The following is a 27230-nucleotide window of genomic DNA, read 5'->3' on the forward strand; positions in this document are numbered from 1 at the left end:
GCCTGTACTTATTCCATTATACCATGGTGCCTCTGAATAGTAGAGACAAAAGGTCACTTTGCCATGGATCAAAAGACAGAAGCTGTCACTTATTAGATGTGTGACCTTGACAAGTCACTTAACCTTTTGGTATCCACATCTTCCCTTCCCTAACACCCTCAAGAAGTGCTATAGCCAATAAAACTTAAAAACCTGAAATAAAATAGTCAAAGAAGCTAATATTAGCATAGAGCATTTAATAAGAATGTGAACAGTGAGCACAAAGGAAAAAGATGGCTGTGTGTATGCTGCTCTGTTCAGGGTACATTCTTCCAACCTAAGAAGGCGGTTTCCTATATTTGTGCCATTATCTTAATCTCATTTCTAACTCAATGTCACTATTCTTCCTCCTGCCCTGCCTGATTTCTCTGAGTAAAAGTATTATACAGAAATTTTAACAGCTGTTGATATCTATTGAAATAGCTAATTTCAATAGCTGTCTATTGGTGAACATAGAGTATATTAATGCAGAGTATTTCCAATGAGAACGAGATATGTCTTTTATGTAAATAAAAAGACAACTTTCAGTCTCGGGGAACAATTAATGGGCTCTGAAAAATAATTTTCTTCAGTTGTTTCTCCTAAAAAAAAATAACAAAAACTCTGGAGACTGAAAAATCTATACCCCTCAAATAATTTCATATCAGCTTAGAAATTAAATTGAAGTTTAGCTTATCAATTATTAAAACAAACATCTGGGAATACAGAAATAATGTTTTCCTTTTTCTCTTGAGTTTGAAATCTATCTTTCTAGAGGTGTAAGTGATATCTGAACATTTCACAAGTGCCTCAAATTCAACATGTCTGATGTAAACTTCTTATCTTCTACCTTAAACCTGCACCTCATTACCTATTGCATTACATATCTCAGAAAATAAACCACCATCCATCCAATCCCCAAAACCAGAGCCCAGAGAGTCTTCCCAATCCTTCCCTCTTTTTCAATGTACTTTCTACTTCTTAGCTTAATAATCATCATCTTCTATTGATTCTGCCTATGATACATCTTCCAACTCACTCTCTTCTTCATTCACATTGCTCCTGCCTTCTCTCAGGTCCTCCTGTGTTCCTGTAGTGTTTGATACTGACCTAAGTGTTCTATATAGAAATAACATTATAGCACATTCAGTGCCTTCTGCGAATCTAAATATTCACCAAATTTCTTATCATAGCATACAAGACTCTTCAAAATCTAGCACCTCAATTCCTTTCAGGTATAATTTCTCATAACTTTCCTACCCTCACTCTGTAGTTGGAACCTAATTACTTTCACATATTCATGCTTTACAGATCTAATCCTTCTTCCTGAAATGCCCATTCCTTCAGTTGTACATGTGAGAAGCCCTACACCAATTCTCACCAACTTCTTCCCTAATCTTCCCAAGTGCTCACCAATTGCCTTTTACTTCTATTGTATCATGGAATACCATAGTATCATATTAGTCTTTCTATTAACATAATAATTTATGTATTATTTTAGTCTGCCAACAAAACCTTTAAATGCAGCAACTATGTTCTATATATTCCTCTTTTGCCAGAATTCAATGGTCTGGTAATAAGGATAAAAGTATTACTGTTTGCTGGATGAATCAGCTGAAGAAGAAACAAATGAATTATTTTTTGAATTTAATTTATTTTTATTTTACTTTAAGTTCTGGGATATATGTGCAGGTTTGTTACATAGGTATACATGTGCCATGGTGGTTTGCTGCAACCATCAACCTGTCATCCAGGTTTTAAGCCTTGCATGCATTAGGTAATTAACTATTTTTTTAAAGTATACATCATGCATGTAATTAACAGAAAATATTACTTTACAGGAATAGCCTTTCCAAAAAATTTCCATCCCTCATTAAATTAAGAGACCTAATGCTAAGGATTCATCCAAAGAAGATTTTATATTCATTTTTACTGAATAATCAATTATATTATGTACACACCTACAAAATTCAAAATATAAAATAAACTAAAGCAAAATAATACACAATTTTGTGTGCTACAAAAAATTTTAGTTTAAAAATTATTTTAAATGTCAGTCAAATAATACAGAATATTAAGTCATCATTGCCCTTTAAAATTCTTTCAACAAGAAATGCCTAATTGTACTTTCACTTTATCTCACTGTACCAGTAAGTAAATAAATTAACAAAATAGCTTTTATCACACAGAATAACCTTTTAACTGAGGGATTATCTCTGGTTTATTTTACATTTCTTTCACTGCAGATAGCAGTTCATGCCTCATTGATTAGTTTGCTAAGGTGGTGACCAGAAATGAAAACACTGCAAGGACCTGTGTGTGTAATCACACACACACACACACACACACACACACACACACACACATTAATTCTATGCCTCTATGCCCGCTTAGATTTGTTTCTTATTTACACATTTTTATGTTTTTTCGTTAAATTGCGTTTCCATTCATAATTTAAATTGTCCATTTCGTAACTCTCAGGGAGAGGAAAATATAAAGTCGATGGAAAAAAAAATCTAGTTTTCTTCAGATTCCTGCTACTTAGGAATATAATGATAGCCTGTATCTTGATGTATGCCATTGAATATACCAGCCACATTTGAGACTTGCCATATTCATCATAAGCTCATCAGTCAGATCTTTAGATCTAACATCTCTTTCGTTTTTTCAGTCAAAACCAATATGGAATTAGTAGTCCAAAAAAACTTTTAAATTAAAAAAAAAACACAGAAATCAAGTACAGTAATATTAATAAGTGTTAATTAGAGTAACCAGAACCAATGAGAGCATGTCACTCTCATTTGGTCTTTTGCTACCCAAAGACTCTGTAGAATCACGTGTCCCAGTGTTTAAAAAGATCATGGATCACCTAGAAGGCCCCAGAAAAGAACAACCACAGGGTTGAAGGATTCGAAAGTCCAGAACAAATGAAGAAGGAAAGAGAGCATATGGTCTCACATGGAAAAGATGAGAACAAAATGGGAACCTTAAAATATTGAATAAAAGCTAACCAAATAAAAGACAGATTAAATTCATTCCTTTCACTTATGAACTCAGTAATAGATTATTTTTGCCAAACGGAAGAAAGAGCATAACAGTTAGACTTAAAAAAAAGCTCTCTTCCGGCTGGGCACACTGGCTCACACGTGCAATCCCAGAACTTTGGGAGGCCCAGGCAGAAGGATCTCTCGAGCTCAGGAGTTCAAGACCAGTCTGGGCAACATAGCGAGACCTCATTTCCACTAAAAATTAAAACAAAATTAGCTGGGCATGGTGGTGCACCTATACTCCCAGCTACTCAGGAGGAGGATTACTTGTGTCAGGGAAATCCAAAATGCAGTGAGCTATGATCGCATCACTGCACACCATCCCGGATGACAGAGCAAGACCATATCTGAAAAAAAAAAAAAAAAATAGAAATCTCTTTCTCCCAGATCCTTCTCCCTTCAATGTTCAGGTAGAGCTAGATAACTTACTCAGTATATCAGGATGTTGTAAAATTGACACTGGCATTTGTTACAGGCTTTAGCTCACCCACTGCTGAGGCCTCTTTCTCTTCTAAAACTGTATTCCCTTCTCTGTAATCTCCATCACCAAGTAGAGTTGATTATGTATTCAAACATATTGTTTCTTTTCCATTTGTTTGCTATTTCATTAATTAGGTGCATATTTCCTTAGGATCTTATGTTATCCTGATAACTGGCTGCTCTATCAACATTCCCATTTATAAACCATCCTACCCATTGCTTTTAGAATAAAAATTATTAGGTAAGAAGATTTTTAAGTAATAGCCAAAGCAAGCTTTAGGAAAATTATAATCTGGCAATCTTCATGTCTCTACTGTTAGTGGAGCTTTCTTTTCTGTTGGCATTCTTACTCCTCCCATTGACATTTAAACCCATCACCCCAGACATCTACACATCTTAGTATTTTGCTTTCAACAGTCAACTAAACCCTGCGAGGATTTAATTGATAATTAAAGTTAAAAGCTTAAATTATGAGTATTTGCATTTAAAAGAGGCTCCTTCTTCTGTATGAATGCAACCTCTGGTGCTATTTCTTAAGTACAAAAGTAAATGAGCCTTTGTAGGCCACCTTTGAAAGGTTGTCTTTGACCCAAAATAGAATGGCTTATTTAATCATAGGATTTTCTGCTCAAGGAACAACATAGATCCCATGTCTTACTGTAGCATGTACCAAGCCTCTTCTTTTGGTCTTTCAGCCTCTTTACAAACTTAACACCCCACATTCTCACCAATTTGACTACATTTCAGTTCACATTACAATTTCATGCAATGCAAAGAATAGACATAGATTTTTTTCTAGAAGTCACAGTACACTTTCTATACTATGCTCACTATCTGTGTGTATTATTCTATTACCTATATTTTTCTTTTGGGTAAAGAAGAAGAGTATCACTTTTCTTTCCATCAAAAACAGATTTTAAAAGTGGCCTTGGGAGGATTGTCTGAGCCAAGGAGTTCAATCTCAGCCTCGGTAACATACTGAAACCCCATCACTACAAAAAATTTAAAAATTAGCCTGGCTTGGTGGCATGAACCTGTAGTCCCAGCTACTCTGGAGGCTGAGGTGGAAAGATTACTTGAGCACAGGAGGTTGAGGCTGCACTGAGCTGTGATCACGCCACTGCACTCCAGCCTGGGCCACAGAGTGACACTCTGTCAAATAAATAAATAAAAATAAAAAGTGACCTCCCCAGGAAGCCTTATTGAAATATATTAACTGTTTCTACTTTTAGTTCTTTATTTATCTTTTTGGTTCAATATTTATTGAGAGTTTATTACGTACTGGGGAAGAATCTAGGTGAAGAAAGACAACACATAAATAGATGAATAAACTACTAAAATGCTGTCTTTAAATTACTTGTACACAGAAGACTTCTCTAAGAAGATGAGACTTGAATATCAAGAAGTTAGCAGCTATGGATGGGTGAAGCTATGGGAAAATCAGCAGAAAATGTCTCAGCAAATGGACTAGTGAGTGCAAAAGGCCTAAGTCTGATCAGGAAAGCAAAGGAAAGCTAGCATGGCTTATTCCAGCATGTGAAGGGGAGAAAAGAAAGAATGGACTCCAGGAGGCTGGCAGACATTTGGACTTCACTGACATATGAATAGTATTTATTTGTATGCTCTCTTACTAAGTTTTAAATCTTTTGCTGTTCACAGCACATTTTTGCATTCCCCAAATATATTTTCTCTCTCAGAAATATATATAGGTGTGTCAAGAGACACACCTTGTTACCCTATTGTCAGCCATAACGTCTAGTTCAAGGCTCAGCTCATAATCATGTCTAACAAATGTGTTTGACTAACTAAATTAAAATGTAATATAAATGAAAACCATTCATTTAAAATTCCAAAGCACTCCATGGTGTTTAAATTTTCAGATTCTATAAAGAATACTATCGGTATTTTAATGAAATATGAATCCTTTGCCTGCTAACATGTAAAGATAATGCTGCAGCTGAAAGTGCATTATATAAATGTCTACTTTAGTCCTTCTTTGTCAATGCTTTGCTATCCATATAAAAGATCCAGATCAATATAAAGGTAAAAACATGATACATGATAGCAGACAGTTATGTTCTCTAAACTTTACTTATCAGTTCTAAGATGTCTTTATCAAAAAGTTTATTTTCTTGCAGTAGTTACTTTATATCAAGCAGTTATCTCTCACACTTGTCAGATTGTTCCTACACCCAGATAAATGTCCCTGTCATCACATACTGAAAGGAAAATGTAAATCTGCATTATAAAATGCATTTCTCTCTTACTTGATGATCCACAGCTATTTCCTGTTAAAAATACTGTAGAACAAACAACAATAATAATATTGGTTGGAAAAAATAGGGAAACATTACCTATGGATATTTAAGAAACAAAGCCAACACTAATCCTTTATTTGAAGAAAGTAAAAATCTATATCCAAACATGATTTCCCTATACATAGTGTCGATGTTCAGATATTGAGCCTGATGCCCTCATAATACATTTGCCTAACACCACAGTAAATTTTTTCATTGTTTTCTCCCAACTAGGATGACAACCACCTAACCTACATAATATTAAGCAGACATTTAGTTCCACTGATGTGAACAGCCAAGAGATTAATGCTGACAGAGCTAAATTACACAAGAGTCAAGAGATGTGATCCAACAATACAATTATAATTATCACTAGGGGAGGTAAGAGATGAACATATTTTCATCTACTAAGAGCTCTGAACTAAAGGGCCAAACACTTAAATGCCACTTTTACTCATTTGGTAACTAGGGGTAGTCCAAATTCTGTAATTATCTGACTTTGCATTCATTAAAAGCAGCTTGGTTTTAGAGGCTTCTGATAGCAATGTCACAATTAACAGTCTACGTTTCATTTGCAGCCACTATTTCAAAAGAACTAAAATAATCACCAAGTCATATGAATAATAAAAAAGGACTAGTCCTCATTTTCTTCTCTTTTGTTTCAGTAATTTGCTGTGCAATGAATTATGTTTTAACTTAGGTTTTTATTTATTTTGTGCGATATCATAAAATAATTAAGAAATCCTCATATCATTTTTTCTTCCTTAAAAGTATGTTGGAAAAAAAGAAATATGATATCCATTTAAAAAATAAGATTTTAGATGAAAGTTCTTAACAATATGTTAAAGCATTTTACTTCTTGAGTGGTACATTATAGACACTTAAAGTTATGAATATATACCTGAAGCTTTAATAATCCTTTTGAATAGTGTATCTATTAGAATGATATTTATTATAAGGATAGAATTAGAAATTATGCTCTTAGGCAATTATAAGTCTATACCATTAAATTATTTTTACTCCAGTATATGAATCATCACTTTGAATAATTTATATATTAGAAAGTAATATTCCTTAGCAGTATACAACCAGCATATGCCATTTGCTATAAATGAGTTTCTGTATTATAAACAGGTAATACAATCAGGATGAAAGTGAGGAAACCATCTTCCTTTTGGCTTTCCTTACAGACATTCTGGGTGATTTTAAGAAGTTTAGTAAGTTTTGTTTTCTTACTAACTCCCTCCATATTGACATTTGTTGATTTCCTATGAGATTTTCTACCTTTTGAGAGAAAATATCAACTTGCTTCTTTCCTTCTTTTAGAAAAAATAATTCACAGAACAACATTCCCTTCTAATGACTACGAGGTGGAATATAACAAGTCCTTCCTATGTGAAACTCCCAGTTGCAGCTACTCATGACTAAGTCATACCGAACACCAAAGAAAGCAGTGGTTGGTTACTTAATAGCTTTCTGGACAGAACTTGAAAATTGGGAAGGGGGTACTTCCGGATAATAATACTTGAAAACTATCATCATAGTGAGCTTGGCTTATATCAATGTAAAAATCTGTATGCATTTAAAATAATCCCCAAACAGATATATATCATTTTCTCATTTATTATTTTATCTTGCTAGAAACAATAGTTCTAAATATGTTGATAAAGTACTGAAAAGCCAGACACACAGTATCATTCAGTTTCAAAAGTTGAGGAAAGAGCTTTGGATTTGGGGTCAGAAGGTACAGGTTTCAGTTTTTACTTGTATGAACTTCAACTTTCTGGGTTCAATGTCTACATCATTGCTGTGGGGCTTCAATATACTATTCGTGGCTTTCTCATAAACTACGATGGAGCTGGGGGTGTAGCTAAAGAGAGGAGGAGGATTCTTATCACCTCCTCCCTCAATGCTTAGGAGCAGGGGCTAGGGTTAGAATATCTCTGTTATTTGGAGACTTTGTAAAGGAATGACTCAGTACCATCTATATTCAAAAGAGCAGAATGTGCTGAGTTCCAGGTTTCTTTTCATCTTTTTCATGGATTGTTGTGTCAAAACCAGAAACCGTTGTACATTTCTCTATCCTAAATAAAATAAAACCTATTAAAATGTGTCTAGGTCTGGCATAGCAGCTTGTACCTGTAATCCTAGCACTTTGGGAGGTTGAGGCAAAAGGATCGCTTGAGCCCAGGAGTTTGAGAACCAGCCTGGGAAAACCAGGCCAAATTTGTCTCTACACAAATTAAAAAAAAAAAAAAAAAATTAGTCCAGCGTGGTGGCACATGCCTGTAGCCCCAGCTACTCAGGAGCCTAAGGTAGGAGGATCACTTGACCCCAGAAGGTTGAGGCTGCAGTGAACCCTGATCACACCATTGCATTCCAGCCGAGGCAGTAGAGTGAGATCCTATCTAAAAAATAAAATAAAATGTGTCCTAGTTAACATGGTTAACATGGTTCCCCAAATATTTGGCATTATGTTTTAAGATATTTTATAACTTCAGACCGCACAAATAAATAGGTACCTGAACAGTAATATTAAAAACCTCTTTTGATGTTGACTTGCATTTGACGCAATAAAATCTGTTTTTAGTAAGGTGGTTTTTTAAAAATTTATGTTCTAATCCCACATCAATCCTCTTCTGTTTCTTAACAAATTAAATGATAAATTATTGTTTTGCTTTTTTGTTTTGTTTTGTTTTGTTTTTTGAGACAGAGTCTCACTGCCTTTTCCAGTCTGAAGTGCAGTGGTGCTGTCTTGGCTTACTGCAACTTCTGCCTTCTGGGCTCTAGTGATCCGCCCACCTCAGCCTCTTGAGTAGCTTGGATTACAGGCAAGTGCCACCATACCAAGCTAATTTTTGTCTTTTTAGTAGAATCGGGGTTCCACCATGTTGCTCAGGTTGGTCTCAAACTCCTGGCCTCAAGTGATCTGCCCACCTCGGCCTCCCAAATTGCTGGGCTTACAGGCCTGAACCACTGCACCTGGCCTGTTTTGTATTTTTGTTTTCACTTTCCTTTCAGACTATTTTGATAGGAATCAGCAATTCTTAGATTAGTCTGAAAAGCCCTCTCAGTATTGAAATTTTGTAGGCATTCACTTAAACCTAAGGTAAGTAGAAAAATAAATTCGTATCTAATGGAAACTAGTTCCAACTTGTTTGTTTTCAAAATAAAGGAAACAAATATGAAAAAACTTCTATCATCAAAAACTTCTAAGGGGTTTATAGTTGTATTTATCCTGTTTAGCTCAAGTGAGAAGTAATTTTACATTTGAAAACCTTCATCAAAACTGTACTGAAGACAGCTTGCTATACTTGGATAATTCCATTTGGTGACTCCCAACTAGGCAAAACTTTCTGCCCTTTAGCAAATATAATTTACTGAATGAATAAATAAAATTAAATTTATAATAACTAAAAACAATATATTCAATGCATGCCAATTTAAATCTTAAATTACTCCAACTGACCAACAGAAATCCTGAGATCATCAACATTTGCCTAAAACCTGCTCTATAACTTGTTCAAAATAACTTGGAAACACTCTTGATATGATACAACTATACCATATACTTCCATTTCTGAATTTTTTTATACACAGCAAAGTAGATGGGTTATTTCCAAGTCAATTGAATAAAGTATTACTTATATCAAAAAATACATAGAAAATGTATGTTAGTTATGATATCAAAAGAAAGAAACTATGTTATGCCTAGAGTTTTAAACAGAGAAGAATTGTAAAGGAACTTGCAAGTAAGTTTCTTTATGATTTATGTCCATTTGTATTTTTTTAAGCTCCAATTAGCTCCATAAAGACTACTTTAGAGGAATAAAAACATTCAAATATTTGGCAGTCTCAAACACTCGTCTTAGAAATGTTTCTTCATGGATGAACCTTTATGTTATAATGAATGTCAATCACAACTAACTATAACTTTTGGGTTTGCAAAGGAACAAGCAATTCTCTCTAACACTCCATTTGCAAGTGCAAAACATCAAAATGTGATATTACAATTGGCAAAAAACGGACTTTACATGTGGATTATAGCATATCTTAGTGAAACTGAAACTGTAAAAAAAAAATTCAAAAGAAAACTTGAAAATAATGGTTTTGAACATAAAATTAGTACAACAAAAAAGACTTGAAAAATTTTTAGCAAAACAAGTCTCATCAAAGCAATATGAATGTTAGCGTCAAAAAACCATGTTTCTCAAAAGGCACCTTTCTTGACAAAGCTTTAATTGTTTTGAGCAATGTAGCCTCTAAGAAAATGAACCTACGGATTCAGCTGAGTTTCAAAAAAGAAGACAAAAGAGAGAGAAAGTAAATAGAAATTAACCAAAATATCGAATTCTACTTCTAAAACTCCTCTCAAAAGCTGTCATTTCATTCAAGTGTTAGTCCTCTCTTTCTCTGAGTGCATTGTGGTATCTAACATTTAATATTAAAGTAAAATGCCCTAGGGAAGGAGTGGTACCAATAAGAGTAAAGTTGATGAAACTATATAAAATATAAACTTTAAAGCTAGCTAAATCTTGATTTTTTGCTAAATATCTTAAAATTTGTTTTGTCTAGAATTATATTGCCATTTTATGTAGCATGTATAAATTTTACTTTGATTAGTAGATGTTCTTTACATAAACACATTAAAAATATAATTGATAATATCTATTAGAGAAATAAGCTCCTTAATTCACAATATTTGGGATGGCAATCATCATTGAAAATAAAACAAAAATGCAGGATATTTTGTTTGGATATTGCTCTGAAAATAAATAATACAGTATTAAAAAATATGAGTGGAAGATTTAAGGAAAGCATGCTTACACATGATTGATCTCTTAGAAAGCTGCATGGTTTATAAAGGCACTGGATTACATGGGGCTTTTTTGGTTTCAAATAGATACACTTTGCTCCACAAAGTTATGTATTTGCTATTGTCTTTTGCATTATAGTTTGTCTTTCTGGATAACAAATCCCCTTGGAGAACCTGTTGAAAGTTACGGACCCCTTTAATCATTAATGAACACATAGTGATTTACCTAAAATTGTGCATGCAATTTCAGTTGAGGTCCTCACAGATGCTTCCCCCTCAGAATCTCAGCTATGGACCAAGACTCTGCCTGGCATGTTTTAAACCTCTATTCTTCTCAATGAATTATACACTTGTAATGCTACAGGGAGTTGAGGCGAATAGACCGCATGTTGAAGCCCTATAAGTTTGTTTCATTAATAGGGGAAAATGTGAATTTTCCTATTTATATGCACATAGGCACTAGTATCATTACTGAGAGAAAAAGCAAAAGAATACTTCCATGTCTGAGATTTAAAACTGATTTAGTTGAAACAACTGATGAGTATTAAAAACAGTAAACTCAGCGTGACTTAACAAGAAAACGCTTTAAATGTAAGAAATAATTGTTTGGATATCTAAACATCCAAATCACATGTGCATTTTCATCCTAAATTAAACAAATTCTAAGTAAAAAAGTATACGCCTAATAGAAAAATAAAGTGATTTTTTTGTCATCCAATAAATAGGCAATGAAAAATCTATATTTAAATTCAAGGTACTAAAGTGAATTAAAGAGGTAACTATTCCACAGGAGTATACATCATTTCAGTTTAATTTTAGTATACAAGTCTCCTTATTAAATATCATGTATAAAATAGTCTTATTTATCATCTTATCTCATTAAGTATTGTCTAGAGAGGCAATTTTGAAAAAGAAAACAATGGTTAGGAAGACTTTATTTTATTCTAATTATATTTGATACTTTAAATGTTTATCTATCTAATATATCTCTTATTAAACAATTCTTTAGCTCTGGTATATTTTTTAGTAAAGTTTTAATAACTTTCTCAGAATTAAAAATAGCATATGATATCAGAGACCAACAATAAAAGTAATCGAATTTAGAGAAATGTTTAGAAAATAAATAGATCTATACATATTTTGTTAAAGACCAATCAATTGATCTGCTGTTTTCTATGTAAAATGAAACAATGCTTATTATTAAAATATAGGCTGAATTCTTTGCCTGATTTTCCGCTTTTGTAAAATGCATTGCTTGAGAAACAAGTCTTCAAAAAACAAGGCCTAAAAAAATCTACTACTCAGGGTGCCTTTGAGGATATTTAATTAAAATCTAATCCTGCATTCATTAAGGCTCACATAAATTAAGCTGTCATTCATAAGATTTATGGATTCTCATTTGCATATTGCATACAATTCATCAATTACTCAAGTATGAAAGGAGCACATTTCCCTTGGAGCTGCCTGCTACCCTGCCAACATTTGAAATGAGGGAAAGAGCAAGACTGTCAGGCATTCACACAAACTTTCTTCCAAATGTCTGCTCCTTGATTAATCTAATTTTCTAGATCTTCCCTACAAGATACACCAACAGCCCTGGTGCACATTTCTATTATTTCGCCTGTCTTCATCACCAAAATCTTCCAGTCTTTGAATACTTCTTCATGTCTGAGTGATTATTCTTTATTTGCTAATAATATGGCATTGATGATATTTCCCTATTCAAATGTGTTTGATATGTACAAAGATGTAGGTTATAGGTCTGTTGATTTTTAATGTTTATTATTTGCTATCAACAATCAGCCAATAAAGAGCTGAAAATGAGGACATGGAAAAGGAAGAGAATGTTGCTGTGGAATGTAGTTGGCACAAAAGCCTAGTTTCAGAGACTGTTAGCATTTCAGAAGAACCTGAAACAAAGCCCTGTAGTAAATCACTGATTCTATATTTAATATAAAAAATGGAGTTCACTCAATCAGCTGCAAGTATATGCTACTGCACTTTTTGCAGTTCTAAGCAAAGTAGTAAGTAACCCAAATTAGTTTGTTTTCACTGTGCATAAAGCATACTGTGTTAATTCACTTGTCTTCTCTGGGGAGTAGATCTTAATTTCAGTGGCACAAGTTGGAAGTAACAGTCCTTTCTAGACCACACTCTGGAAACCTTCCAACAGGAATGTGATCAGGTGCGAAACTTAATGCAAAACACTCCTCATGTCCAGGATTTCTACAATTAAAATATATGAATGTATCAGCACTCTCAAAAATCTCTGCTCCTGAAAACATGCTGTCAATTAAATGTCAATTAAATAGAAAAACGGGAAAAACTACCTTTCAAAATCATTAGTTTTCTATGAAGTGCATATACTTCAGTATAAAAAGAAAGCATTTTATTCAATTTAAATATTTAGAAAATTCATTTGGTAACATGAGGGATTTTATTTTACTGTATGATACTTGCCAAAACTATGATCATATCTCTTTGGAAACACCCATTTAGAACCCAAAATTAGAATTTCCCAAATTAAAACCTTAACATCTCAGGTTAAGTGTTAAATTACCAAAGACACCTTTTGGTTGATTTTGCTCCCGAAGAGTCTAAAGAAATGAGTAAATGACTCTAAGGACTATACTAGCATAATCATAAATATTTTCACTTTACAAAAACTGTGCCTCTAAAGAGAAAAAAATTGTATTCAGCAATAAAAATAATTTCCATGAATTCCTCACAAATACATTTAACATAGGAGAAATAAATGACTCTATAAATTTAATCAGAAGGATGAAATCATTAGCATCCCCAATTTATAAAATGACTTTCAAAACTGAAAGCAAACAACAGATAAGCTCATGCTTTTTATTCATTCAAGTGGGATGGTTCTTCATAATTTTCAGAGATCCATGCCTGAGACACTACTGAGTGTATTGTCTGTCTTTTAACTCTTGCATTCTCTACATTTCAGTTTTCTCAGCATGAGCTGTCTACTTTATTCTATCCAAGTAATGTGTAATAGAAAAAGAATTGACCTATTCTATAATAATAATGCTTATTTTATTTCTTCAATACAAACCACCTGTTTGGGTTTTGTTTGGTTTTTGAGGTTTTTTTAACTATGTAAATTAAATATGATAATCAGCTTCCTTACTCAGTGTAATAGACAGTGAATGGAAAGCATATGGAAAACTTTACTTTTTTTTATTTAGTTCATCCTACAAAAGAATTTACCCCAGATTAATGAAGAAATCCCAAGTAAAAGAACACAAAAACATCTAAGAGTGATGGACAATAGAGAGGAGAGCTTCACCTGGGGCACTTCATTTAAATTGAAGATTTTGCATTAAATGTTTGTACAGATTAAGTGAACTTGTTTCATGTCCCAGAGTGCACATTTATTTTGAATAAATTATTCCCAAAATGAATTTGCTTTCTTTTTATTTTTCATAGCCCCTTTAGATTAATAATCAGATCTAAAATGGCATTTCTGAATGCAATCTATCTAGTCCACACATATGAGAGAACATTCTGATAGATTTTAAGAGATACTTATTTAAAAAGTCACACACAAATGAATACATAAAAGGACACCACTCCTCTTTAGGAAAAGTAAATATATTAAGGAAAGCATCAACATGGCAATGACCTTGAAAAGAATCTTGGGTTATGGTAGTCTATCACTAGTAATCAGGATTGATATCCATAAAATGAAGCTATCACAAAATCACTCTCTTGCTAGCATACTGCTATGTATGTTACATCCCTTAATACTGTTAAATGTTAGTCAGGTCCTGTGGAATCTATGCATAACAATGACAAACACAATGACAGACCCACAGAATGAAACTTGTTTAGAATCAGTTTAAAATAAAATATGCATATGTGAATTCAATTGTTAGTGTATTGTCGAAGTTTTCAGTCTCTCCAGAGGAAGAATATTAGGTAATTAGAATTACTCAACGTACACTAAAAATAATAAAACTTCTCAAAATTGTTTACAAGGCCATAAAGCAGAATAAGCCAAGCCTGATGGGCACCTGGGTAACAGAAATATTCACTACCAATCCACCTTTATTTTAAAATCCTCTGATTTACCAATGTATCCTAAATGCAATAATATGGAATGAACATTTATTGCGGCTCCACTCAAAAATCATCTTAACAAGTTATTCTGTATATATGTATCATGTCTATAAAGAAACATAAGATTAAAGACATTTTTTCATGGTACAATGAAAGTTGATCAGTTTTTCTAATCTTATAACTAGAAAAATAAAGAAACATGCTAGATGACGAGTTAGTGGGTGCAGCACACCAGCATGGCACATGTATACATATGTAACTAACCTGCACATTGTGCACATGTACCCTAAAACTTAAAGTATAATAATAATTTTAAAAAAAGAGAAAAATAAAGAAAAATAAAGCAACAAAGGTGAAAACAAGTTCTAAGAAAGGCAGAAGTCATTACCTGGGGCTACCAGCCTATTCTATTCTGTACCAACTTATTCTCCAAGAGGAATCAAGTATTTAAACTATTTACACATTTCTTTTTCCTAGATTAAAAGCTAAGTACAGAGAAGCAATAAAAAGTTGTGTAAAATGTATGTTTTCAATCACATGAAGGACAAGTCTACTCATTCTGAATGTATTTGAAATAAGCATGAGTCATGCACGCAAAGTCAAAAAATCAATCACAAAATGTTTACTTTTATTGCATAATGTTGTCTAATTTTAATTTCTTCCTTTATATATTGTGTGAGCATGTACATATGAGTGTTTGCACACACATACACACATATATGTATATGTGTGTACAGATATATACAAACACACACTCTTCATTATTTGGCATTTACAGACACACAAACACCTAAAGCATTATGTACTTTGTTGTGCACCTGAGAGCTTACTTAGCAGAAAGCAAATTTTATTTTACATTCAGCCATTAAGATTTGTTATTGTCTTATCATTATTTTTATTAGTTATAATTGTCATGTAAAATAGCTACAATTATACAAATCAGTATTTTTTTTTTGAAATGTGATGATTTTAAGCAATTCTAAGGGCTACATTTTCTTAATTTCAGAATGTAGTTGTGTCCTTTTGAGACTCTTAAGGCATTCAAAGCATATCAGGAACCTAAAATTATATATTTTAATTTATATTTTTTTCAAACGGAATACAGTTATAGCAATTAACTATTACCTACTTAATTGTAGTTTATCTACCTTACATAAAGATGGTGAGAATGAACACTTTTGCAATAATCTGAAGTGTCTAAAGTAGTTGAACTCCATGAGGAAAGCTCTCTCTGTAATATTCTTCAAGAGCCAGTCGTGTTATTAAACAGATAAGCCTGGGTTAAAAATACAACAGCACAAGATTCTAATGTTGAGTCTATTACTAGATTACTAGAATGCAAGGTGATTTTAAGCAAGCCACTTAACTTCTCTTTTCCTTGGTTTCTTGATCTTCTTTTTTTTTTTTTTTTTTGGAGACAGAGTCTCGCTCTGTCGCCCAGGCTGGAGTGCAGTGGCACCATCTCGGCTCACTGCAAGCTCCACCTCCCGGGTTCATGCCATTCTCCTGCCTCAGCCTCCTGGGACTACAGGCGCCCGCCATCACACCCGGCTAACGTTTTGTATTTTTAATAGAGATGGGGTTTCACCGTGTTAGCCAGGATGGTCTCGATCTCCTGACCTCGTGCTCGACCCGCCTCGGCCTCCCAAAGTGCTGGGATTACAGGCGTGAGCCACCGCGCCTGGCCTGTTTCTTGATGTTCTTTAGAAATGGTGTTATGGAATATTCTTTTTACCTAATTCCCATGGTTGTAATATTAACACTCAAATCGTAGACTAGACTCCGCTGTCAGAATTGCTTGAGGTTAAAATATTGTGAAGTTTTGAGAATGGATGCTCAATCCAACTGGATCCAATTGTGAAAGAAACTTAGATCTGAATTCCCAAATATTCTGTCTCTATAGAGAAAAGTTCATGCCTTACATTCTTCAGCAGTTATTTTAAGGATCCAATGGAATAACTAGTTTTATAGTTCCAAGGGTTCTTCTGAGATCATTTCAATACTCTTTTGCTTCATTATGCTGTCTCTTCAAACTCATAATTGAGCTTGAGAGTAGTCAACTAAAATCTTCAAATAATTTCTGAATGTAAACTGCTAAGTACACCATTTTGAATCCTTTCAACGAAGATCATACATTGACCTTTATAAAACTTATGTTAACTATATTTGATCTATCATTCCAGCCTGCCAATATTTGGGGGATCTTGATTCCACCATTATCTATAGCTCCATCTAGGCTCCAGAATATGAAAGACGACTTATTTTTTTCCTTGAATTTTTCATGAAATCTATAATGTCTACTTCAAAAGCTCTGTCCAATCTATCTCTTCCTTCATTACCTCTTCTACTGTCCTAGTTCAGCAGTTAGTTTAATTACCTCTCCTTTTTGCCTAAAAATCACCAACTGGGCCAGGCGCAGTGGCTCACACCTGTAATCCCAGCACTTTGGGAGGCCGAGGCGGATGAATCTCCTGAGCTCAGGAGTTCGAGACCAGCCTGGCCAACATGGTGAAACCCCATCTGTACTAAAAATACAAAAATTAGCTGGGTGTGGTGGTCGGTACCTGTAATCCCAGCTACTTGGGAGGCTGAGACAGGAGAATCACTTGAACCCGGGAGGTGGAGGTTGCAGTGAGCTGAGACCACGCCACTGCACTCCAGCCTCGGTGACAAGAGTGAGACTATTTCTAAAAAAAAAAAAAAAAAAAGTCACCAATTGGGTCCCTCTTCTCTAGAGCAGAGGTCAGCAAATAATAGTCTGTAGGCCAAATCTTGCCTACCTTTATTTGTAAATACAGTTTTATTGGAATGCTGCCACAACCTTTTGTTTATTTTGTGGCTGATTTCACACTATAATGGCAAAGTTGAATAGTTGCAACAGAGACCACAAGGCTGGCAAAGCCTACAGATATTTACTATCTAACCGTCTCTAGAAACAGTTTGTCAATCACTCCCCTATAGGTTATTTCCAAACCTCTTAGCATGACACTGGAATGTCTTTATGGTCTGATTCCAAACTCACTCTAACATCTTCTACCATCAATTCCTTCTCTTGGTTCCCCATGATCTTTCCTATCTGCCTATACTTACTCATATCATTTTCTCTGTCTGGAATGCCTTTCCCCAATTTCACCTCCAAACAACCAAACCCTAACCATATAGCAAGGTCCTTAAAAAAAAATGGTATTCATAAATGGTGAAAAACAATACATCATAAGTGCTCACGTTTTATTCTAATTTTAAATTATTACTACTATTTGGGGGTTTTTTGGTTATTGTTTTTTGAGACGGAGTCTCATTCTGACACCAAGATTATAGTACAGTGGCACAATCTCGACTCACTGCAACCTCTGTCTCCCAGGCTCAGGCTATCCTCCCACCTCTGCCTCTTGAGTAGCTGGGACTACAGGTGTGCGCCACTATGCCTGGCCAAGTTTTTTGTTTGCTTGTTTGTTTGTTTGTGTTTTGTAGAGATAAGGTCTCACTCTATTGCCCAAGCTGGTCTTGAAGTCCTGGGTTCAAGCAATCTGCCTATCTCAGCCTCCCAAACTGCCGGGATTACAGGTGTGACCAACACACCTGGCCTATTACTGCTATTTGATATATTTATTCTTCGGACCCACTTTGATAACTTCAGCACTGCACTAATATATATTAAGAATTGTTAAAAGTATTCATCCACCAGTGGTTTAGACAGCACACAGGAGCAAGGACTCCTTAAATATAAAAATATGATGTAATTGTCAATCAGATTATCCCAGTGTGTTGGTGACTTCCTAAAAGTAAGCTAGTCATTTTGCAATTTCACATCATAAGGTGCCATTTTATTAATGACAGTAGCATTTTACATAATGGTTCACTTGTCATCATAAATAATTCATATTATTCTCTTAAAATGAATGTTATATGTAATTTTGGTTCATAAAAATTATTTCCTATAAGCCAAACCAAAGCACAGTCAGTGGCCAACATGGTGAAACCCTTCTCTACTAAAAATACAACAATTAGCCAGGCATGGTGGCCCGTACCTGTAGTCCGAGCTACTCAGGAGGCTGATGCAGGAGAAGCACTTGAACCTGGGGATCGGAGGTTGCACTGAGCTGAGATTGCACCACTGCACTCCAGCCTGAGTGGCAGAGCAACACTCCATCTCAAAAAATAAAATAAAATCAAAATAAAAACACACTTGAATATATATGTGTGTGTGTATATATATATGTATATGGGATACATATATACCCCATATATATGTATATCCCATATACGTATACCCCATATATATGTATATCCCATATACGTATACCCATATATATGTATATCCCATATACGTATACCCCATATATATGTATATCCCATATACGTATACCCCATATATATGTATATCCCATATACGTATACCCCATATATATGTATATCCCATATACGTATACCCCATATATATGTATATCCCATATACGTATACCCCATATATATGTATATCCCATATACGTATACCCCATATATATGTGTATCCCATATACGTATACCCCATATATATGTATAGCCCATATACGTATACCCCATATATATGTATATCCCATATACGTATACCCCATATATATGTATATCCCATATACGTATACCCCATATATATGTATATCCCATATACGTATACCCCATATATATGTATATCCCATATACGTATACCCCATATATATGTATATCCCATATACGTATACCCCATATATATGTATATCCCATATACGTATACCCCATATATATGTATATCCCATATACGTATACCCCATATATATGTATATCCCATATACGTATACCCCATATATATGTATATCCCATATACGTATACCCCATATATATGTATATCCCATATACGTATACCCCATATATATGTATATCCCATATACGTATACCCCATATATATGTATATCCCATATACGTATACCCCATATATATGTATATCCCATATACGTATACCCCATATACATATACGTATATCCCATATACATATATGTATATCCCATATATGTATATATACATATATATAAACACACACACACAGGATATATATATATATACACACACAGGATATATATATATATACAGACACAGGATATTTATATATACACACACAGGATATATATATGGGATATACGTATATGGGTGATACATATATATGGGATATACGTATATGGGTTATACATATATGGGATACACGTATATGGGTTATACATATATATGGGATACTCGTATATGGTTTATACATGTATATGGGATACTCGTATATGGGATATACGTATGTATATGGGATACACGTATATGGGATATACATATGTATATGGGATACACGTATATGGGATATACGTGTATATGGGATACACGTATGTATATGGGATATACACGTATACGGGATATACGTGTATATGGGATATACACGTATACGGGATATACGTGTATATGGGATATACACGTATACGGGATATACGTGTATATGGGATATACACGTATACGGGATATACACGTATATGGGATATACACGTATACGGATATACGTGTATATGGGATATACACGTATACGGGATATACGTGTATATGGGATATACACGTATACGGGATATACGTGTATATGGGATATACACGTATATGGGATATACGTGTATATGGGATATACGTGTATATGGGATATACGTGTATATGGGATATACGTATATGGGATATACGTGTATATGGCATATGTGTATATGGGATATACGTGTATATATATGGGATTATATATATCCCTTCCTACTTGACAAACGCATTGCTTAGATGGGTTAAGATTCTTCACCAAACATTTCTCTTATTCTAGAAGTAATTTAGAAATTAAGGGAAAGAGTCCAATTATTTTTACTTCCCATAAGGTAATCCATTTCAAAATTTTACCTGTTTTATTATAATTAATCTATTTTTATAACACAACAGAGTAGAAATTTGTCTTAGATAATGACAAGGATTTGAACCAGATTGTGGCAGTCGGTAAAATCAAAGGCACCCTGCATGGCATTTTTGGCAGCTGCAAATGATTGCTGGCTATTTCACACCTCACTTTTTCTTAAAAGGTCATATAAAATGCATTAAAAATCTATCTCCATGATACTAGCTACCAAAATATACTGAGCTGTGTACAGAGAGTATGGAAAATGCCAGCAGAGTGGTAGAGGTATGCATGGATTTTCTAGACATCAACCCCAAGCAATAGGAAAGAGTTTTGAAGGACCAGAGTCTATGAAAATAGCTTTTGTTCAAAGTGACCAAAGAGTAATAATTATTGAAAACAAATCTCAAAGTTAAGAGGACACATATAGTCTAGGCTGTTTGTGATTCACCTTAGAATAGATTACCATGATGTGCCATCACATATCAGATTCATTCAAAAATTTATTAAGGACTTTTTACGTATACTGCAGCATACCTTCACTAAAGTACTAAAGCATAATGACAAAGGCCTTGAACATATGGGCAATTTTATTGAGAAAACCAAAAAGACACCTGATAAAGCATAGTAACAGCTTAAGGAAAAAAGGTAAATATCTTAAAAAGGAATACAGATTTTAAAATATATATATAAATATAAAAGTGTGTGATTGCTGAAAGACAAATGGAATGGGGCCCGATATACTTGAAAGGGTTGGATGGCAGAAATGAAAAAGTGAAAGCACTCTAATATATTCAAAGTGCACTGCTATTTTTTTTCCCGTAAGAAAGAGGGAGTCAAATCAATATGAATGCTTACCCTTTTATTCAATAGTTAACCCAGAAGTATAAAAACAATAGACAATCACAGCAATAGGATTAGAGCAGTAATAGTGTGTTTTCTTAATCGATCTGATGTATATGAGTACATGCATCTATTTGATAAATAGTTATGGAACTTTCATAATCTATAATGTATTAAATACCATGTGCTCAGCTCTGTAGTAAACAAAGGAATCAGACACAGATCCTGTCTTCTTAGAGAGTAAATAGAATATAAAACATCTTTATGGAAAACCATAACACCATATACAATCTGATAAATGACACTTTAAAGTTGAAGATTATAGATGTGGTGGCTCACGCCTATAATCCCAGCTCTTTGGCAGGCTGAGGTGGGCGGATGACTAGAGGTCAGGAGTTCAAGCCCAGCCTGGCCAACATGGTGAAACCCCGTCTCTACTAAAAATACAAAAATTAGCCAGCTACTTGGGAGGCTGAGGCAGAAGAATCGCTTGAACCCGAGAGGCAGAGGCTGCAGTGAGCTAAGATCACGCCTTTGCACTCCAACCTGGGCGACAGAACAAGACTCCGTCTCAAAAAAAAGAAAAAAAAAGTTGAAGGGAAAAAGCTATGGGAGTTCAGAAGAGAGAACTAGGCGTTGTGCAAAACCATGAAGATAGTTTTGGAGCAGGTAGCCTTTGAGGGAACTCTGGAACACAAATGGAACTTGGAATTCGAGACTTGGGGTAAGGGAAGGAGGGATTTGGCAGAAAAAGTACCCTCCCCACATAGGGACAAACAACAGCCAAAGCACTAAAGCCACAGAACATACAATATTTATGAAAAACAGCAGTAGTTTAGTTGATGAAGGCATCTTTAAAATGGAGAAGAATGCAATCAATCTGGAAATAGTTTGGAAACCATACTAAGCCTTAAATTTTAAAAAGTTAGATTGACTTATTTTATAATCAATCAGTAACTACTGAAGGTTTTTGGAGGAGAGGGTTCTTTTTGCTGTTGTTGATGTATAGTTTGGCTTCAAACATAAATGGAAAGTCTGTGGGCAAGGAAATCATTTAGAAGATTCATTTGTCCTAAAGTCTATCATGTCCCAAACTACATCAGCAATATTATAAACTAGAGGCAATAGGAATGGTGAAGTTGAGAGAAAATGAAGTTATAATCAACAATGTTTAATAGCTTATAAAATGCAAGGATTCAGGGAGCAAAGTCTCTATTAAAAATGACTAAAAATATGAAAGCCTGGTTAGCTGAAACAAAAGAGATCCTGCTGGAAACAAGATGAGTAACGCTGAAAGTGAAGATAAGCTCAGTTTTTAATATATTTTGGTGGTGGTGGAATTTATATGTGAAGTTCTTCAGTAATGGGACAAATACTAGTAGTTCCGAGGAGAAAAACGGACATATATTTGGAAGTCATCTGCACGGAAGTAATCATTCAAAGCACGAGTTATTTGATATTTTAAGAAAGAGAACCTCAAGTATTCTTGCATACTTGCAGGGTTTGATAAATTTTCATCAGTAAGAGTAGCTCCCCATGGAAGTGATTCTTAAATAGGAGTTCCCCTCCACCAATAGAGAGTAGCAAATCTCAGTCTTGAGAAATATAGGTAAAACAAGGTGTACTTGGGGCAGGGTGAGTGAGGAGAGAGGGGAATTTTGTCCCATACTTTTTCCAATACTCGATAAACAATTCCATGGTGAAAAAGATACATTTACAATATTAATTGAGAAATAAAATTCAGGGAAAAAGAGATCAGGATGGAAACAAGCAAAATGAAAATTTAAAAGACAGAAAACTGTCTGCGTGAGGTGGCTCAAGCCTATAATCCCAGCACCTTGGGAGGCCGAGGTGGGAGGATCATGAGGTCAGGAGTTCAAGACCAGCCTGACCAATATTATGGTGAAACCCCATCTCTACTGAAAATAACAAATTGGCCAGGCATGGTGGCACCTGCCTGTAATCCCAGCTACTCAGGAGGCTGAGGCAGGAGAGTTGCTTGAACCGGGGAGGCAGAGGTTGCAATGAGCCAAAATTGTGCCATTGCACTCCAGTCTGGGCAACAGAGCGAGACTCTGTCTCAAAAAAAAAAAAAAAAAAAAAAAAAAAAAAGACAGAAAACTATCAAATGCTCAAGAAAAAAAAACAGAAAGGAAAAGAGAATAAGGACTGAGATGATCTGGCAATGAAGAAGTTGCAGGTTACTTTAATGGGGAATTGAGAAAGTTAATAAATTTTTATGGAAGACAATGTACAAGAAGTTGTAGTCTACATTGGACACAGGAAGAAACGCGAATCAACAACTATTATGAGAAATTGGCAGCCAGGCACGGTGGCTTACTCCTGTAATCCCAGCACTTTGGAAGGCCGAGGCGGGCGGATCACCTGAGGTCAGGAGTTCAAGACCAGCCTGGCCAACATGGTGAAACCCCATCTCTGCTAAAAATACAAAAATTAGCTGCCGTAGTGGTGAATGCCTGTAATCCTAGCTACGTGGGAAGCTGAGGCAGGAGAATCTCTTGGACCTAGGAGGTGGAGGTTGTGGTGAGCCGAGATCGCGCCATTGCATTCCAGCCTGGGTGACAAGAGTGAAACTATGTCTCAATTCAAAAAAAAGAAAAAAAGAAATTGGCCAATGAAAAGAAGTGATGGAATCATGGTTCGAGGCACCAACAATATTTAAGGAAGATGAGCTTGTGTGTAGAATAGCACTGTTCAATAGAAATATAATGAAAACCCCATATAAAATTGTAAGCATCTTTAAAAAATTGAAATTAAAGAGATGAAAGTAATTTAACAATATATTTTACTTAATGTATTCAAGTTATTATGTTTCAATAAGTAACCCACATGAAAATTATTGAGAAATTTTACATTCTTTTTTCCTATTATCTTATTTAAAGTTGTCAAGTACTTTACACTTAAAGACTGTCAGTTTGCACTATCTACCTTTCAGGTGCTCAAGAGCCACAGGTGGGTAGCAGCCACTGTCCTGGACAAGACAGCTCTAGAAATAGAGCTAGGAACCTGAAGTGGTTTTTGCAGCTGTTACTTGACTGCTAAGTTTGGTTAGCTGGCCAGTAAGAAGTGGTACACATGTATTTATTTTCTCTATTTTTTATCATCAAGTACAAATAGAAAAATATGAAGGCATTTGAATTAAGAATCATAGAATGCTGTTACAAATTTTCTTTGTAACTAAGCAAGAATAATTCTTTGAAATGGGAATTTAAACTAAAACACTTTGAAGCTAATAACGTGAGCTTTTAAAGACACACTGTAAAAGTTAAAAGTAGAAAACATTTCCAGGATTTCTAAAGTAAAAGACACAATATAAACACAGGACTAAAATTGGTTTAAGAATTTCAAAACCATTCCTCATGAAATCATAATTATATCAACTTGTACAAATAAAAGGTCAAGAACTTTCCAAATAATTGCATCCAGACATTGTCTCGTTAACTAGAATCCCACACGCAAAAGTAGTTCAACAACTGTTGGATTTATCCTTTGCTCACTCTATTTTCTCAAGACTGATGAAGACAGCTAAATCGCACATCTGGCATATCTTCTTCAAGCTATTTTCTACTACCTACATCAAATAAAATGAATTCCAAATACTTCACTCTTTACAAGTCAATTAAAGAAGAATTCACTCTAAAACAAAACAAAAAAAAAATTACATGATTTCAAGAACTCTTTCCTTTAACAAGTATTTTTCTTTAAAAAGTATGTCCCTATTTTTATTGACAATTTGAAACCAACTAAACATGAAGCACAGGGAATTAAAAGACATCTTAGAAAGCAGATAATGTTTTAAATTTAAAGATCACATAGAAATCAAACCTTGGCCTATGTTCTTTAAAACTCCTCAGTAATATATTGATTTATTTATATTTCAAGTGATTGTGCTTCAAAGAAAAAAATTGTTTATGTTAAGACAGTTCAAATTGGAGGATCAACTGTCAGAGTTAAAGCATAAGGTAAAGGTAGCAACAGTCATAAAGCTGAATAAGATATTGCATGTGCTACTGCCTGGGGTGTGGGTGTATTTAATATCTCATAGCAGTTACTTCCCAGTACATAATGTATTATTTTAAGTGAAAAGTTACAAGAATCACTTTATTTTGAACATGTTATCACATGATGATATGATGTATAATATGTTGTCATTTTTCATACTGAAAACATAGATTATAACATAGATTTGAATATTCTCCTAAACATTTTTTTAAAATTATGTTAAAATGGAAGCCATCTACCTACCTTTTAGCCTTGACACTTTATTTTGGCCTTGACAGATAAAGCGAAGACTTTTTACTTTGTATCACTGAAGATAACATGAAATGGCCCACATCAGCCCAGTAGCAATATACTCTCAAGATAAAACAGTAAATTATTAGTTTTCTAAAGAAAAACTAGTAGTAATTGTTATAACTCTCCTCTTAACTCTACAATGCTGTTTTTATCTTTCCATTTTCTTAGAAGTAACTTGCTATGTACATATCATCTTCCCACCCAAGTTCAAACAGTTTCTTGAAATATTACTCATGGCGTATTTGGCAAAATTTCCATTGCAAAGTACCAAGCACATGGAAGTCATTCAATAATTGACTTTTTAATTTTGATTATTGGGAAAAGAGAAGAAAAGAAAAATGCCCACAAGGAAATGCCTTATCAGATACTGCTAAGTAAGGACAGGCTGGCATAAAAACATTGATCAAACAAGAACTTTGTTCGTCTTATTGTTTTTCCAGGAATGGAGCTCAACTCTACTTCATTATGGTTAAGGGGAAGTATTAAAATGAAAAAGAGATTGGGACATTTTATTAGGGGAAAATCCTACAATCCACTTCTTTATTTTATTTAGTATTGTATTTTTATTTTTCTGTTGAAGACAATAATACATTCCCTCAAAATGCTTGATAAAATTAATGATCCCTCTGATAATATGTCTAAGAGAGATTATTTTTTATGCTAAATTTGAAATGTAATTTAACTCTTATTAACTTATTTAAATCTATAAAATAAACTTATTAAACAGATATAATGGATAAAGATGTAAAATAAATAATTTTTCTTCCCAAATCTTTTTAATTCTATTTGAGTGATTTTTCTCTCATTTTTTAGGCTATTCTGGCACATAAGGACAAAAGAAGCCACTTAGTCAAAGAATGAAACAGAAAATAACCCCATCTTTCAGAATACCTATGTATAATCCCTGAAAACAACACCTACGTATAGTCACTTAAAGCAGAAAAAAAGAGAGATAATACAGACTGATATGGTTCAGCTGTGCCGCCTCCCAAATTTCAACTTGAATTGTATCTCCCACAATTCCCACATGTTGTGGGAAGGATGCAGGGGGAGGTAATTGAATCATGGGGGCCAGTCTTTCCCCTGCTATTCTTAATGACAATGAATAAGTCTCACAGAATCTGATAGGTTTATCAGGGGTTTCCGCTTTTGCTTCTTCCTCTTTTTCTCTTGCCGCTGCCATGTAAAAAGTACCTTTCGCCTCCTGCCATGATTCTGAGGTCTACCCAGGTATGTGGAACTGTAAGTCCAATTAAATCTCTTTTTCTTCCCAGTGTCAGGTATGTCTTTGTCAACAGCATGCAAACAGACTAATACATAGCCCCACAGATTAGTTGGAACCCAAGTTTTTACTGATATGCTATGGAAATTTAATTTGTTACTAATTTTCCTCAGTTAAACTTCTAAATATCAATGGTCGTTAC

General features: G+C 34.3%; 1 protein-coding gene across 6 annotated transcripts in view, besides 1 other annotated feature; it reads right to left on the reverse strand.

The window, feature by feature from the left end:
- Positions 1 to 27230, reverse strand: part of DACH1 (dachshund family transcription factor 1) — a 429239-nt gene that overhangs the window by 277195 nt on the left and 124814 nt on the right. The window lies entirely within an intron of this gene.
- Positions 11557 to 13642: an enhancer, noted in NCBI's record as "VISTA enhancer hs137". NCBI's record gives its function as "enhancer in: hindbrain (rhombencephalon)[3/3]" and the evidence as "EXISTENCE:transgenic organism evidence [ECO:0001131][PMID:17130149]".

This window comes from Homo sapiens, chromosome 13, assembly GCF_000001405.40.
Source record: "Homo sapiens chromosome 13, GRCh38.p14 Primary Assembly".
NCBI lineage: Eukaryota > Metazoa > Chordata > Mammalia > Primates > Hominidae > Homo > Homo sapiens.